The following is a 14,601-nucleotide window of genomic DNA, read 5'->3' on the forward strand; positions in this document are numbered from 1 at the left end:
GTTGATGTGCACGCTGGTCAGCTGTGAGGCATGTCTTACACACCTCCCTCACTTCCCATCATGACCAAAACCAGTTTATCAGGTTAATTTTGGAATGCCTTCAACCAAGAAGAGGGGTCTGTTTAGATAGTTGGGGGGCTTAGAACTTTATTTTTGGTTTACGCTTTTTATTTTATTTTTTAATTTGTTTGAGTACATAGTAGGTATACATATATATTTATGGGGTACATGAGATGTTTTCATATAGGCATTAAATGTAAAATAAGCACAGCATGAAGAATGGGGCATCCATTTTCTCAAGCACTTATCTTTTGAGTTATAAACAATCCAATTACATTCATTAAGTTACTTTAAACTGTACAATTAACTTATTATTGACTATAGTCACCCTGTTGTGTTATCAAATAGTAGGTTTTATCCATTTTTTTCTATTTTTTCTTTTAGACAAACAGTTTTATTTGAAAAACAGAAACAGCTGAGTCTCCCCCTTTCCACAGACCTGGCAGTGTTGGGCTCAGGTGTGGGAGGACCAGTTTCCTGCAGAGAGAAGACAGTTAGGGGTTGGAGGCCAGACCCAGGGGCTAGACCATGTGAGTGGCCACAATGGGGCAGAGGCCACAGTGCCCATCAGGGCCTGGGTTTCACAGCTGCACATGGGGCAGTGCACATTGAGCTGAGGCCCCTGGAGGCTCTGGGTGCCAAATCTCTCCCATGGCCATGGCCAAAGCCAGGGGTGATATTCAACCAATGCCAGTGACCCCAACCACTAGTGGGATGTGTGTGGCCAACACTGCTGGACCTACCCAGACAGAGAGACCATTCTTTTATGTTTATCTTTTGGTACTCATTAACAATTCTCACCCCCTGCTAGCCCCCCACTACACTTCCCAGCCTCTGGTAACCATTCTTCTACTCTGTATGTCCATGAAATCTATTTTTTTTAACTTTTAGATCCCACAAATAAGTAAGAACATGTGAAGTTTGTCTTTATGCACCTGGCTTATTTCATTAACATAATCATATTCAGTTTCATCCATGCTGTTACAAATGACAGGATCTCTTTTTTTTTTTATTATACTTTAAGTTCTAGGGTACATGTGCACAACATGCAGGTTTGTTACATATGTATACATGTGCCATGTTGGTTGGCTGTACCCATTCACTCGTCATTTAACATTAGGTGTATCTCCTAATGCTATCCTTCCCCCCTCCCCCCACCCCACGACAGGCCCCGGTGTGTGATGTTCCCCTTCCTGTGTCCAAGCATTCTTATAGTTCAATTCCCATCTATGAGTGAGAACATGTGGTGTTTGGTTTTTTTTGTCCTTGTGATAGGTTGCTGAGAATGATGGCTTCTAGCTTCATCCATGTCCCTACAAAGGACATGAACTCATCCTTTTTTATGGCTGCATAGTATTCCATGGTGTATATGTGCCACATTTTCTTAATCCACTCTATCACTGATGGACATTTGGGTTGGTTCCAAGTGTTTGCTATTGTGAATACTGCCACAATAAACATACATGTGCATGTGTCTTTATAGCAGCATGATTTATAGTCCTTTGGGTATATACCCAGTAATGGGATGGCTGGGTCAAATGGTCATTCTAGTTCTAGATCCTTGAGGAATCACCACACTGTCTTCCACAATGGTTGAACTAGTTTACATTCCCACCAACAGTGTAAAAGTGTTCCTATTTCTCCATATCCTCTCCAGCACCTGTTGTTTCCTGACTTTTTAATGATCGCCATTCTAACTGGTGTGAGATGGTATCTCATTGTGGTTTTGATTTGCATTTCTCTGATGGCCAGTGATGATGAGCAGTTTTTCATGTGTCTCTTGGCTGCATAAATGTCTTCTTTTGAGAAGTGTCTGTTCGTATCCTTCACCCACTTTTTGATGGAGTTTTTTGTTTTTTTTCTTGTAAATTTGTTTGAGTTCTTTGTAGATTCTGGATATTAGCCCTTTGTCAGATGAGTAGATTGCAAAAATTTTCTCCTATTCTGTAGGTTGCCTGTTCACTCTGATGGTAGTTTCTTTTGCTGTGCAGAAGCTCTTTAGTTTAATTAGATCCCATTTGTCAATTTTGGCTTTTGTTGCCATTGCTTTTGGTGTTTTAGTCATGAAGTCCTTGCCCATGCCTATGTTCTGAATGGTATTGCCTAGGTTTTCTTCTAGGGTTTTTATGGTTTTAGGTCTAACATGTAAGTCTTTAATGCATCTTCAATTAATTTTTGTATAAGGTGTAAGGAAGGGACCCAGTTTCAGCTTTCTACATATGGCTAGCCAGTTTTCCCAGCACCATTTATTAATAGGGAATCCTTTCCCCATTTCTTGTTTTTGTCAGGTTTGTCAAAGATCAGATGGTTGTAGATGTGTGGTAGTATTTCTGAGGGCTCTGTTCTGTTCCATTGGTCTATATCTCTGTTTTGGTACCAGTACCATGCTGTTTTGGTTACTGTAGCCTTGTAGTATAGTTTGAAGTCAGGTAGTGTGATGCCTCCAGCTTTGTTCTTTTGGCTTCATTGACAGGGATGCCCTCTCTCACCACTCTTATTCAACACAGTGTTGGAAGGTCTGGCCAGGGCAATCAGGCAGGAAAAAGAAATAAAGAGTATTCAATTAGGAAAAGAGGAAGTCAAATTGTCCCTGTTTGCAGATGACATGATTGTATATTTAGAAAACCCCATCATCTCAGCCTAAAATCTCCTTAAGCTGATAAGCAATTTCAGCAAAGCCTCAGGATACAAAATCAATGTGCAGAAATCACAGACACTCTTATACACCAATAACAGACAAACAGAGAGCCAAATCATGAGTGAACTCCCATTCACAATTGCTTCAAAGAGAATAAAATACCTAGGAATCCAAGTTACAAGGGATTTGAAGGATCTCTTCAAGGAGAACTACAAACCACTGTTCAATGAAATGAAAGAGGACACAAACAAATGGAAGAACATTCCATGCTCATGGATAGGAAGAATCAATATTGTGAAAATGGCCATACTGTCCAAGGTAATTTATAGATTCAATGCCATCCCCATCAAGCTACCAATGACTTTCTTCACAGAATTGGAAAAAACTACTTTAAAGTTCATATGGAACCAAAAAAGAGCCCACATTGACAGGATCTCATTTTTTATGGTTGAATAGTACTCCATTGTGTATATGTATCACATTTTCTTTATCCATTCATCTATTGGTGGACACTTAGGTTGCTTCGAAATCTTAGCTATTTAAAAAAGTGCTGCAACAAACGTAAGAATGCAGATGTCTCTTCAATATATATATTTATTTTTGGGGCAGGGGTATATACCCAGCAGTGGGGATGTTGGATCATATGGTACCTCAAGTTTTAGTTTTGAGGAATCTCCAAACTGTTCTTCATAGTGGTTGTACATTTACATTCCCACCAATTGTGTACAAGGGTTCCCTTTTCTCCACATCCTCGTGAGCATTTTCTATTGCCTGACTTTTGGATAAAAGCCATTTTATCTGGGGTAAGATGATATCTCATTGTAGTTTTGATTTGCATTTTTCTGATGATCCATGATGTTGAGCACATTTTCATGTCTGTTTGCCATTTGTATGTTTTCTTTGATAAATGTCTATTCAAATCTTTTGTCCTTTTTTTTTGAGACAGAATTCTACTACTGTCTCCCATGCTGGAGTGCAATAGCATAATCTTGGCTCACTGAAACCTCCACCTCCCAGGCTCAAGCAATTCTCCTGCCTCAGCCTCCTGAGTAGCTGGGACTACATATGCGTGCCACCATGCCTGGCTAATTTTTGTATTTTTTGTAGAGAGGGGTTCCACTATGTTGCCCAGGCTGGTCTCAAACTCCTGTGCTCAAGTGACCTACCTTCTTCCTTTCCAATTTAGATGCCTTTTATATCTTTCTCTTGTTTGATTGTTCTTACTAGGAGTTCCAGTGCTATGTTGAATAACAGTGGTGAAAATGGGCATTATTGTCATGTTTAGATCTTAGAGAAAATCCTTTCAGTTTTTCTCTATTCAGTAGGATACTAGCTGTGTGTCTGTCATATATGGCTTTTATTATGTTGACATTTATTTCTTCTATTCCCAGTTTTTTGAGGGTTTTTATCATGAAGGGATGTTGAATTTTATCAAATGTTTTTCAGCATCAATTAAAACGATCAGATTGTTTTTATCCTTCATTCTGTTGATGTGATGTATCACACTGATTGATTTGCATATATTAAACTCTCCTTGCATCCTAGGAATAAATCATACTGCTCATGATAAATTATCTTTCTAATTTATTGTTGAATTCAGTTTGTTAGCATTTTGTTGAGGATTTTTGCATTCATATTCATCAGAGATATTAGCCTGTAGTTTCCTTTTTATGATGCATCTTTGGTTTTGGTATCAGGGTACTACTGGCCTTGCAGAATGAATTTGGAAGTATTCCCTTGTACTCTATTTTTTAAAAACTGGTTTGAGTAGGATTGGTATTAGTTCTTTAGAAGTTTGGCAGAATTCAGCACAAAGCCATTGGCTCCTGAGCTTTTCTTTAATGAGAGACTTACTATGATGGCTTCAATCTTGTTACCTGTTATTGGTCTTTCCAAGTCTTGGATTTCTCCCTGTTTTATTCTTGGTAGGTTGTATGTGTCTGGGAATTTGTCTATGTCTTCTAGATTTTCCAATTTATTGAAATATAGTTGTTTATAATAGCCACTAATGATCTTTTTAATAGCTGCAGTGTCAGTTGTAATGTCTCCTTTTTCATTTCTGATTTTATTTATTTGAAACTTCTGTTCTTCATATTCTGACTAAAGGCTTGTCAATTTTGTTTAACTTTTCAAAAAAATCAACCTTGTGTTTTATTTATCTTCTGTATTGTTTCTCCATTTCCATTTCATTTATTTCTGCTATGATCTTTATTATTTCTTTTCTTCTACTAACTTTGGGTTTTGATTTTTTTTCTAGCTTTTCTAGCTCTTTAAAGTGAATTGTTAGATAGTTTATTTGAAGTTTTTTTTTATATAGGCACTTTTAGCTATAAACTTCCCTCTGAGTATTGCTTTTGCTGTATCTCATAAATTTGGTTTTGTATTGTTTCCATTATTATTAGTTTCAAAAATTTTTTCAATTTTCTTCATTAATTTTTCATTGACCCACTGGTCATTGAGGAGCATGTTGTTTAACTTCAATGTATTTGTATAGTTTCCAAAATTTTTCTTGTTATTCATTTCTAGCTTTATTCCATTGTGGACAGAGGAGATGCTTGATATTATTTCCGTTTTTGAATATTTTTATATTTGTTTTGTGACTTAACATATGGTCTATCCTTGAGAATGATCCATGTACTGAGAAAAAAATTGTGTATTCTGCAGTCATTGGATGAAATGTTCTGTAAATATCTATTGGAGGCACTTGGTCTATATTGCACACTGAGGCTGATGTTTCTTTGTTTATTTTTTGGAAGATCTGTCCAGTGCTGTCTGCTGCTATTATTGTACTGGGGCTTATCTCCCTCTTTGGCTCTAATAATATTAATACTTGCTTTATATATTTGGGAGATCCAGTGTTGGGTGCATATATATTTAAAATTGTTTAATGAACTTGATGAATTGACCCCTTTATCATTATATAGTGACTGCCTTTGTCTCTTCTTATAGTTTTTGTCTGGAAATCTATTTTATCTGATATAAGTGTAGATACTCCTGCTTTTTTTAAAATTTCCCTTCGCATATGATATCTTTTTCCACCCGTTTATTTTCAGTCTATGTACATGTTTTTAGGTAAAGTGTGTTTCTTGCAGGAAACAGGTAAGTGGGTTTTGTTTTTTTATCCGTTCAGTCAGTGTGTGTCTTTTGATTGGTGAGTTTAGTTTGTTTACATTCAGTGTTGTTATTAGTAAGTAAGAACTTACTCCTGTCGTTTTGTTATTTGTTCTCTGGTTGTTTTGTAGTCTCATTTTTTTTCTTCCTATCTTCATTTAGTGAAGGTGATTTTCTCTGGTGATATTATTTAGTTTCTTGCTTTTAATTTTTTGTGTTTTTTTTTGTGTTTCTTGGTTTGGGCTTCTGATGAGTCTTGCAAGTACTATCTTGCTACTCATTATTTTAACCTGATAGCAACTTGACACTATTTATATAAACAAACAAACAAGCAAAAAACAAATTAATAAAAACTCTCCTTAACTTTGTCCCCTGCTTTTTAACTTTTTTGTTGTTTCTATTTATATCTTATTGTAATGTCTATGGTTTCAAAAGTTGTAGTTATTATTTTTTTACTTGTTTATTGTTTAGTCTTTCTAGTTAGGGTAAGAGTGGTTTACATACCACAGTTACAGTGTTGTCATGTGTGTTTGGTTATCTGTTCCTGCGTTAGTTTGTTGAGGATAATGGCTTCCAACTGCATCCATGTTGCTGCAAATGACATGATCTCATTTCTTTTTATAGAACTATTTCACAGTGTATATGTACCACATTTTCTTTATCTAGTCTATAATTGATGGGCATTTAAGTTGATTCCATGTCTTTGCTGTTGTGAATAGTGCTGCAATGAACATATGTGCACATGTATCTTTATAATACAATTATTTATATTCCTTTGTGTATATACTCAGTAATGAGATTGCTGGGACAAATGGTATTTCTGCCTCTAGGTCTCTGAGGAATTGCCACACTGTCTTCCAACTGACATGAGATGGTATCTCATTGTAGTTGATTTGCATTTCTCTAATGATCAGTGATGTTGAGTTTTTTATCATATGCCTGTTGGCCACATAAATGTCTGCTTTTGAGAAGCATCCATTCATTTCCTTTGCCCACTTTTTAATGGGGTTGTTTTCTTTCTTGTAAATTTGTTTATGCTCTTTGTAGACCTTTGTCAGATGGATAGATTGCAAACATTTTCTCCAATTTTTAGGTTGTCTGTTGACTCTGATGATAGTTTCTTTTACTGTGCAAGAGATGTTCAGTTTAATTAGATCCCATTTGTCAATTTTTGCTCTTGTTGCAATTGCTTCTGGCATTTTTCTTTTAAAATCTTTGCTCGTGCCTATATCCTGAATGGCATTGCCTAGATTTTCTTCTAGGGCTTTTATAGTTTTGCGTTTTACGTTTAAGTCTTTAATCTATCTTCAGTTAATTTTTGTATAAGGTGTAAGAAAGGGGTCCAGTTTCAATTTTCTGCATATGGCTAGCCAGTTCTTCCAGCATCATTTATTAAATAAGGAGTCCTTTCCCCATTGCTTTTTTATGTAAGGTTTGTGAAGGATCAGATGGTTGTAGGTGTGTGGTATTATTTCTAAGTTCTCTATTCTTTACCATTGGTATATGTGTCTGTTCCTGTACTAGTACCATGCTGTTTTGGTTACTGTAGCCTTGTAGTATAGTTTTAAGTCAGGTAGTGTGATTCCTTCAGCTTTTTTTTTTTTGTTTGTTTGTTTTTTTTTGTTGTTTTTTTTTTGCTTAGGATCGTCTTGACTATTTGGGCTTTTCTTGGTTCAATAGGAATTTTAAAGTAGTTTTTTTTCTAATTTTGTGAAGAATGTCAATGGTAGTTTAATGGAACTATTCAATTAATAACGTTGAATCTATAAATTGCTTTGGGCAGTCTTACCATTTTCACGATATTGATTCTTCTTATCCATGAGCATGAAATGTATTTCCATTTGTTTGTGTCCTCTCTAATTTTTTTGAGCAGTAGCTTTTGTTTCTCCTTGAAGAGGTCCTTTACTTTCCTTGTTAGCTGTATTCCTAGGTATTTTATTATTTTTTTTAACAATTATGAATGGAAGTTCATTCATGATTTGGCTCTCTGCTTGCCTATTGTTAGTATATAGGAATGACAGTAAATATTTAACAATGATTTTGTAACCTGAAACTTTGCTGAAGTTGCTTATCAGCTTAAGAAGCTTGTGGGCTGAGACAATGTTGTTTTCTAGATATAGAATCATAGCATCTGCATGCAAAGATAGTTTGGATTCCTCTTTTCCTATTTGAATACACTTTATTTCTTTCTCTTGACTGATTGCCTTGGCCAGAACTCCCAATACTACGTTGAATAGGAGTAGTGAGAGAGGACATTCTTGTCTTGTGCCAGTTTTCAAAGGGAGTGCTTTTAGCTTTTGCCTATTCAGTATGATACTGACTGTAGATTTGCCATATATAACTCTTATTATTTTTAGGTATGTTCCTTCAATATGTGGTTTATTGAGAGGTTTTAACATGAAGGGATGTTGAATTTTATTGAAGTCCTTTTCTGCATCTATTGAGATAATCATGTGGTTTTTGTCTTCAGTTCTGTTTATGTGATGAATCACATTTATTGATTTGCATATGTTGTACCAACCTTGTATCCCAGGGATGAAACCAACTTTATTGTGGTCGATAAACTTTTTGATGTGCTGCTGGATTTGATTTGCCAGTATTTTATTGACAGTTTTTGCATCAATGTTCATCAAGGATATTGGCCTGAAGTTTTCTTGTTGTTGTGTCTCTGCCAGTTTTTGGTATCAGGATGATGCTGATCTCATAGAATGAGTTAGGGAGGAGTCCCTCCTTTTCAATGGTTTGAATAGTTTCAGTAGAAATGGTACCAGCTATTCTTTGTACCTCTGGTAGAATTCAGCTGTGTGATTCATAAAATGTAGAAAATGTAAAGCTAGGTGTGATTCTAGAAATGATCTAATTGGAGGGGTGCGGTGGCTCACATCTGTAATCCTAGCACTTTGGGAGGCCGGGGCGGGTGGACTATTTGAAGTCAGGAGTTTGAGACCAACCTGGCCAACATGGCGAAACCCCATCTCTACTAAAAGTACAAAAATTAGCCCAGCATGGTGGCACATGCCTGTAGTCCCAGCTACTCAGGAGGCTGAGGCAGGAGAATCACCTGAACCCAGGAGTTGGAGGTTGCAGTGAGCCGAGATTACACCATTGCACTCCTGCCTTGGTGACAGAGTGAGACTGTCTCAAACAAGCAAACAACAAACAAATAAAAAAAAAGATCTAGTCAAAACCCCTCACATTTTACAGATGAAGATGAGGTCAAAATTCTTAAGTGCTCAAAATCATACATGTAATTATTAACAGTGGCAGAACCTAGACAAACCAGGTGTCTTGGCTATGCAAATTAATTCAATGAATACTTTTTTACTTTTGTCAGTAATTACTGATTTTTTAGATCTTGCTCTAAAATAATTAAATACTGTACTCTGAAGCTATAGAAATATAGATTATAAACTTCTGAACAACAATGACCAATAATAATCTGTTCTATATGGTAATATTTTAAGCATGTAGAATAGCTCATAGGTGCACAATATTTCATGAAGACAGTATTGTCATTACAAGTTTTTCTCAAAAATAGTATTATTTTGTTTATGGTAAGGTAATATTTTATCAGCCATTTTAGGGACACATATTTGTGTAAGAACTCCTGTGTTTTGTAAAATTTTTATTAGTATAAAATAATACAGTTTTGTCAGTATATTTAAAATGCTTGAAAGCATGCACAGGTAGCTATACAGTAAGAATATTTAAGATATAGTAGGGATGAGGAAAGAAAAGTTTTTCTTTTCAATTTTAATATTCTGTACTTTTAAATATATTTTTAACAGTAAGCATGTTTGTCCTTTTAATATAAAAATAAGTTACACCGCATGATCTCACTCATAGGTGGGAATTGAACAATGAGAACACATGGACACAGGAAGGGGAACATCACACACTGGGGCCTGTTGTGGGGTGGGGGGAGGGGGGAGGGATAGCATTAGGAGATATATCTAATGTTAAATGATGAGTTAATGGGTGCAGCACACCAACATGGCACATGTATACATATGTAACAAACCTGCACGTTGTGCACATGTACCCTAAAACTTAAAGTATAATAAAAAAAAAGTATTTCAACACTATCACAAAAACAGAAAAATCGCACCACTCAGAAAGAACCACTCTTAGTATTTTGTCACATTTCTTTCCAACCTGACATTATGCCTTATTTGTTTCCAAAAGTATCTGATTTCTGCTCTTGTTCCATTTGACAGTATGGCATAAATGTTTTCTTATGTCATTAAAAACTATTCATTATTTTTTTAATAGCTGTGAAGAATTACATTGTTTGGACATACTATAATTACTTTAGCTTAATATTCTATGTTGGTTTATTTCCCTTTGTTATCATAACTAAAGCACTATTAGACATAATCATGCATTAATCTTTGTCTGTATTTTGGATTAAGTCCTTATGATAGATTCATAAAACTTAAATTAATTACTGGGTTAAATAATATGAACTTTTTTTTTTTTTTGAGATGGAGTCTTGCTCTGTTGCCCAGACTGGAGTAGAGATGTGATCGGCTCTCTGCAACCTCTGCCTTCCAGGTTCAAGTGATTCTCCTGTCTCAGCCTCCCAAGAAGCTGAGACTACAGGTGCGCCACCACGCCTGGCTAGTTTTTGTATTTTTTAGTAGAGATGGGATTTCTCCATGTTGGGCATGCTGGTCTTGAACTCCTGACCTCAATTGATTCACCACCTTGGCCTCCCAAAGTGCTGGGATTACAGGTGTGAGCCACCGTGCCTGGCCTAATATGAACATTTTAAAAAACTCTCCAAAAATAATACCAAATTACTTTTCAGAAATATACTAATTTATACTCCCACTAATTTTTTTCAGAGACAAGATCTCACTATGTTACCCAGGCTGGAGTGGAGTGGCTATTCACAGACAAGATCATAGCATACTGCAGCCCTGAACTCCTGGGCCCAAGTAATCCTCCTGCTCAAGTAGCTGGAACTACCTTGTAAGGTATGCCACCACATCCCACTAATTTTATTATTTCTTCCAGTAGTGTGTGAAAGTGCTTTATCACAAAACCATCATATATATGTTTCTAATAGATTAGATAAAATCATTACTGTCTATTTTTAGTTGAAATTCTTTGATTTAGTGAAATTAAACATGTTACTTGTTCATTAGCCATTTATATTGTATCTCCTGTGAATCATCTAATTACTTATTCATTTATATACTGGAGTTTTTGTATTTTTCTTATCAATTTGTATGAACTACTTACATATTAAGACTATAACCAACAAATATTAATTTCTGTAATATTTGTTGCAGGTAAGTTTTCTAATTTTGTTTTTTTAAATTTGATTTATGCTGTTTTTAATGATGACGTTTATAAAATTCTATCCTATCTATTGTTTTATTTTATAATTTATTTCCCATTGTTCCTAAACTTAGAAAGTGACCCCTCATCCTGAAATTTATTGCATAATCAACTTTTCTTTTCTACTATTTTACATTTTTATAATTTGATTTTTTTGTATTAAGAAAATTTAACTACTTTTTATCCAGCTGGAATTTATTTTATATGATGTGAGAGGATTGTTTATGAAATAGCCAATCAGTTGTTCCAGCATTATTTATTAAATATCTTTACTTTCACAATTGTTGCATTATACTCTCTTTGCCATCTATTAAAGTGTTATACTAAGGTCTGTTTCTTCACTGTCTGTTCTGTTCCATTGATCTGGTACCAATGTTATTTTAATTTAATCATTGTAGGTTGCATTAAATTTTAATATCTGACAAGGCTAGCTTTCACACATAAGATTTTTTTCTCTTTTTCATTTTTAAGCCATTATCTTCTATTTGTTTTTTCAGAGAAACTTCAGAAAAATTTTGTCATGTTTTTCTTCTCCACTCTCATATTTTACATTGAGGGTATTGACTGCAATTGTTGTGCTATGTATGTTACGTTCTTTCTTTATTCTTTACAGATGGGGTCTTGCTGTGTTGCACAGGCTCATCTCAAATTCCTGGCCTCAAGTAATCCTCCCACCTGGGCCTCTCATAGTGTCGGGATTACAGGCATGAGCCATTGCACTCAGCTTGTCATGTTTCTATTTACTTATTTACTTAACTTTTATACTACTTAGTGACTACTGTCATGTTTCTTTTTTTAAAAAAATTTTATTTTAAGTTTAGGGGTACATGTGCAGTTGTGTTATATAGGTAAACTTGTGTCATAGGGGTTTATTGTACAGATTACTTCATCACCCAGGTATTAAGCCTGGTATCCATTAGTTATTTTTTTCTGATCTTCTCCCTCTTTCCACCTTCCACCCTCCAATAGGCCCTAGTGTTTGTTGTTCCTTTTTATGTGTCCACGTGTTCTCATCATTTAACTCCCATTTATAAGTGAGAACATGCGGTATTTGGGTTTCTCTTCCTGCATTAGTTTGTTAAAGAAAATGTCTTCCAGCTTCATCCATGTTCCTGCAAAGGACATGATGTTGTTCTTTTTTATGGCTGCATAGTATCCCATGGTATATATCTACCACATTTTCTTTATCCAGTCTACTATTGATGAGCATTTAGGTTGATTCAGTGTCTTTGCTATTGTGAATAGTGCTTCAATAAACACATGTATATGCGTCTTTATGATAGAGCAATTTATATTCTTCTGGGTTTATTTGCCGTAAGGGGATTGCTGGGCCAAATGTTATTTCTGTATTTAGGTCATTGAGGAATCGCCATACTGCTTTCCACAACGGCTGAACTAATTTTTATTCCCACCAACAGTGTATAAACATTCCTTTTTCTCTGCAACTCCTCCCACACCAGTTATTTTTCAGTAATAGCCATTCTGCCTGGTGCGAGATTGTATCTCATTGTGGTTTTGATTTGCATTTCTCTAATTGTCAGTGATATTGAGCTTTTTTTTCATTTGCCTGTTGGCCACATGTATGTATTCTTTTGAAAAGTGCCTATTCTTGTCCTTTGCTTAGTTTTGAATGTTTTTTTTTTCTTGTAATTTTGTTTAAGTTCCCTGTACATGCTGGGTATTAGACCTTTGTTGGATGCATATTTGCAAAAATTTTCTTCCATTCTGTAGGTTGTCTCTTTATTCTGTTAATAGTTTCTTTTGCTGTGCAGAGCTCTTTAGTTTAATTAGATCCCATTTGTCAGTTTTTGCTTTTGTTGCAATTGCCTTTGGCATCCTCATTACCAAATCTTTGCCCATTCCTATGTCCAGCATGTTATTGCCTAGGTTGTCTTCCAGGGTTTTCACAGTTTTGGGTTTTATATTTAAGTCAAGGAAGGGGTCCAGTTTCAATCATCTACATATGACTAGACTGTTATCCCAGCATCATTTATTGAATAGGGAGTTCTATCTTGGTTTTTCCTGTTCTTGTTAGCTTTGTCAAAGATAAGATAATTGTAGGTGTGTGTCATTACTTCTGGGCTCTCTACTCTGTTCCATTCATCTATGTGTCTGTTCTTGTACCAGTACCATACTGTTTTGATTACTGTAACCCTGTAGTATAAAGTTGGGTAACATGATACCTCCAGCTTTGTTCTTTTTGGTTAGAATTGCCTTGGATATTTGGGCTCTTTTTTGGTTCCATATAAATTAAAATTGTTTTTTTCTATTTCTATGAAGAATGTCATTGGTGGTTTAAGAACTTGGCCAGGCATGGTGGCTCACGCCTGTAAATGCAGCACTTTGGGAGGTTGAGGCAGGTGGATCACCTGACATCAGGAGTTTGAGACCAACCTGACCAACATGGAGAAACCCCATCTCTACTAAAAATACAAAAATTAGCCAGGGGGTGGTGGCACATGCCTGTAATCCCAGCTACTCCAGAGGCTGAGGCAGGAGAATTGCTTGAACCTGGGAGGCGGAGGTTGCAGCGGAGGTTGCAGTGAGCGGAGATTGCGTCATTGCACTCCAGCCTGGGCAACAAGAGTGAAACTCCATCTCAAAAAAAAAAAAAAAAAAAAAAAAAGAACTTCTTGATTGTTGACCTAATTTTATTATTTACTCAAAAGTCATTCAGTGTCTTATATCCAATCATGTGATCAATTTTTGAATATGTGCCATGTGAGGATGAGAAGAATGTATATTCTGTTGTTTTTGGTTGGAGACTTCTTTAGGTGTCTATCAGATCCATTTGATCCAGTGCTGAGTTCAGGTCCTGAATATCTTTGTTAATTTTTTGCCTTAATCTGTCTAATACTGTAAGTGGGGGCATTGAAGTCTCCCACTATTATTTTGTGTGAATCTAAGTCTCTTTGTAGATCTCTAAAAACTTGTTCTATGAATCTGGGTGCTCCTGTGTTGGGTGCATAGAGATTTAGGATAGTTGGATCTTCTTGTTGAATTGAACCCTTTATAGGTAATGCCCTTCTTTGTTTTCTTTGGATCTTTGTTGGTTTAAACTCTGTTTTGTCTGAAATTGGGATTGCAACGCCTGCTTTTTTCTGTTTTCCATTTGCTTTATTTATTTATTTATAAACATTTATCCCACTCAGTGGCTACTGTCATGTTTCTTGATTCACTTAATTACACCTTTATATGTTTCAGTGAAATTTTCTTTACAAAGGTTCTGCATATTCCTTGTTAAAATTTTAATTCACTCAATAATGTTAATTCTTCTGGAATTCAGATAGATCAATGTTGTTTTGTACCCATTATATGCTAAGCATTGGCCTAGACGTTTGCATGTATTATTTATATTTCTCACAAGAATTCTGTGTAGTAGGCATTTATTATGCTCATTTTAGAGATAAGGAAATTAAGACTCCAAGAGATTTAATGGCTTGCCC

The 14,601-nt window shown here is 35.6% G+C and overlaps 1 non-coding gene across 1 annotated transcript; it reads right to left on the reverse strand.

Moving 5' to 3' along the window:
* Positions 1-622: 622 nt before the first annotated feature.
* On the reverse strand, positions 623-749 carry LOC124900504 (small nucleolar RNA ACA64). The gene has a single exon (XR_007068446.1). It is a non-coding gene; the product is annotated as a small nucleolar RNA ACA64 (small nucleolar RNA).
* Between the last annotated feature and the right edge of the window lie 13,852 nt (positions 750-14,601).

Source organism: Homo sapiens, chromosome X, assembly GCF_000001405.40.
Source record: "Homo sapiens chromosome X, GRCh38.p14 Primary Assembly".
NCBI classification, from domain to species: domain Eukaryota; kingdom Metazoa; phylum Chordata; class Mammalia; order Primates; family Hominidae; genus Homo; species Homo sapiens.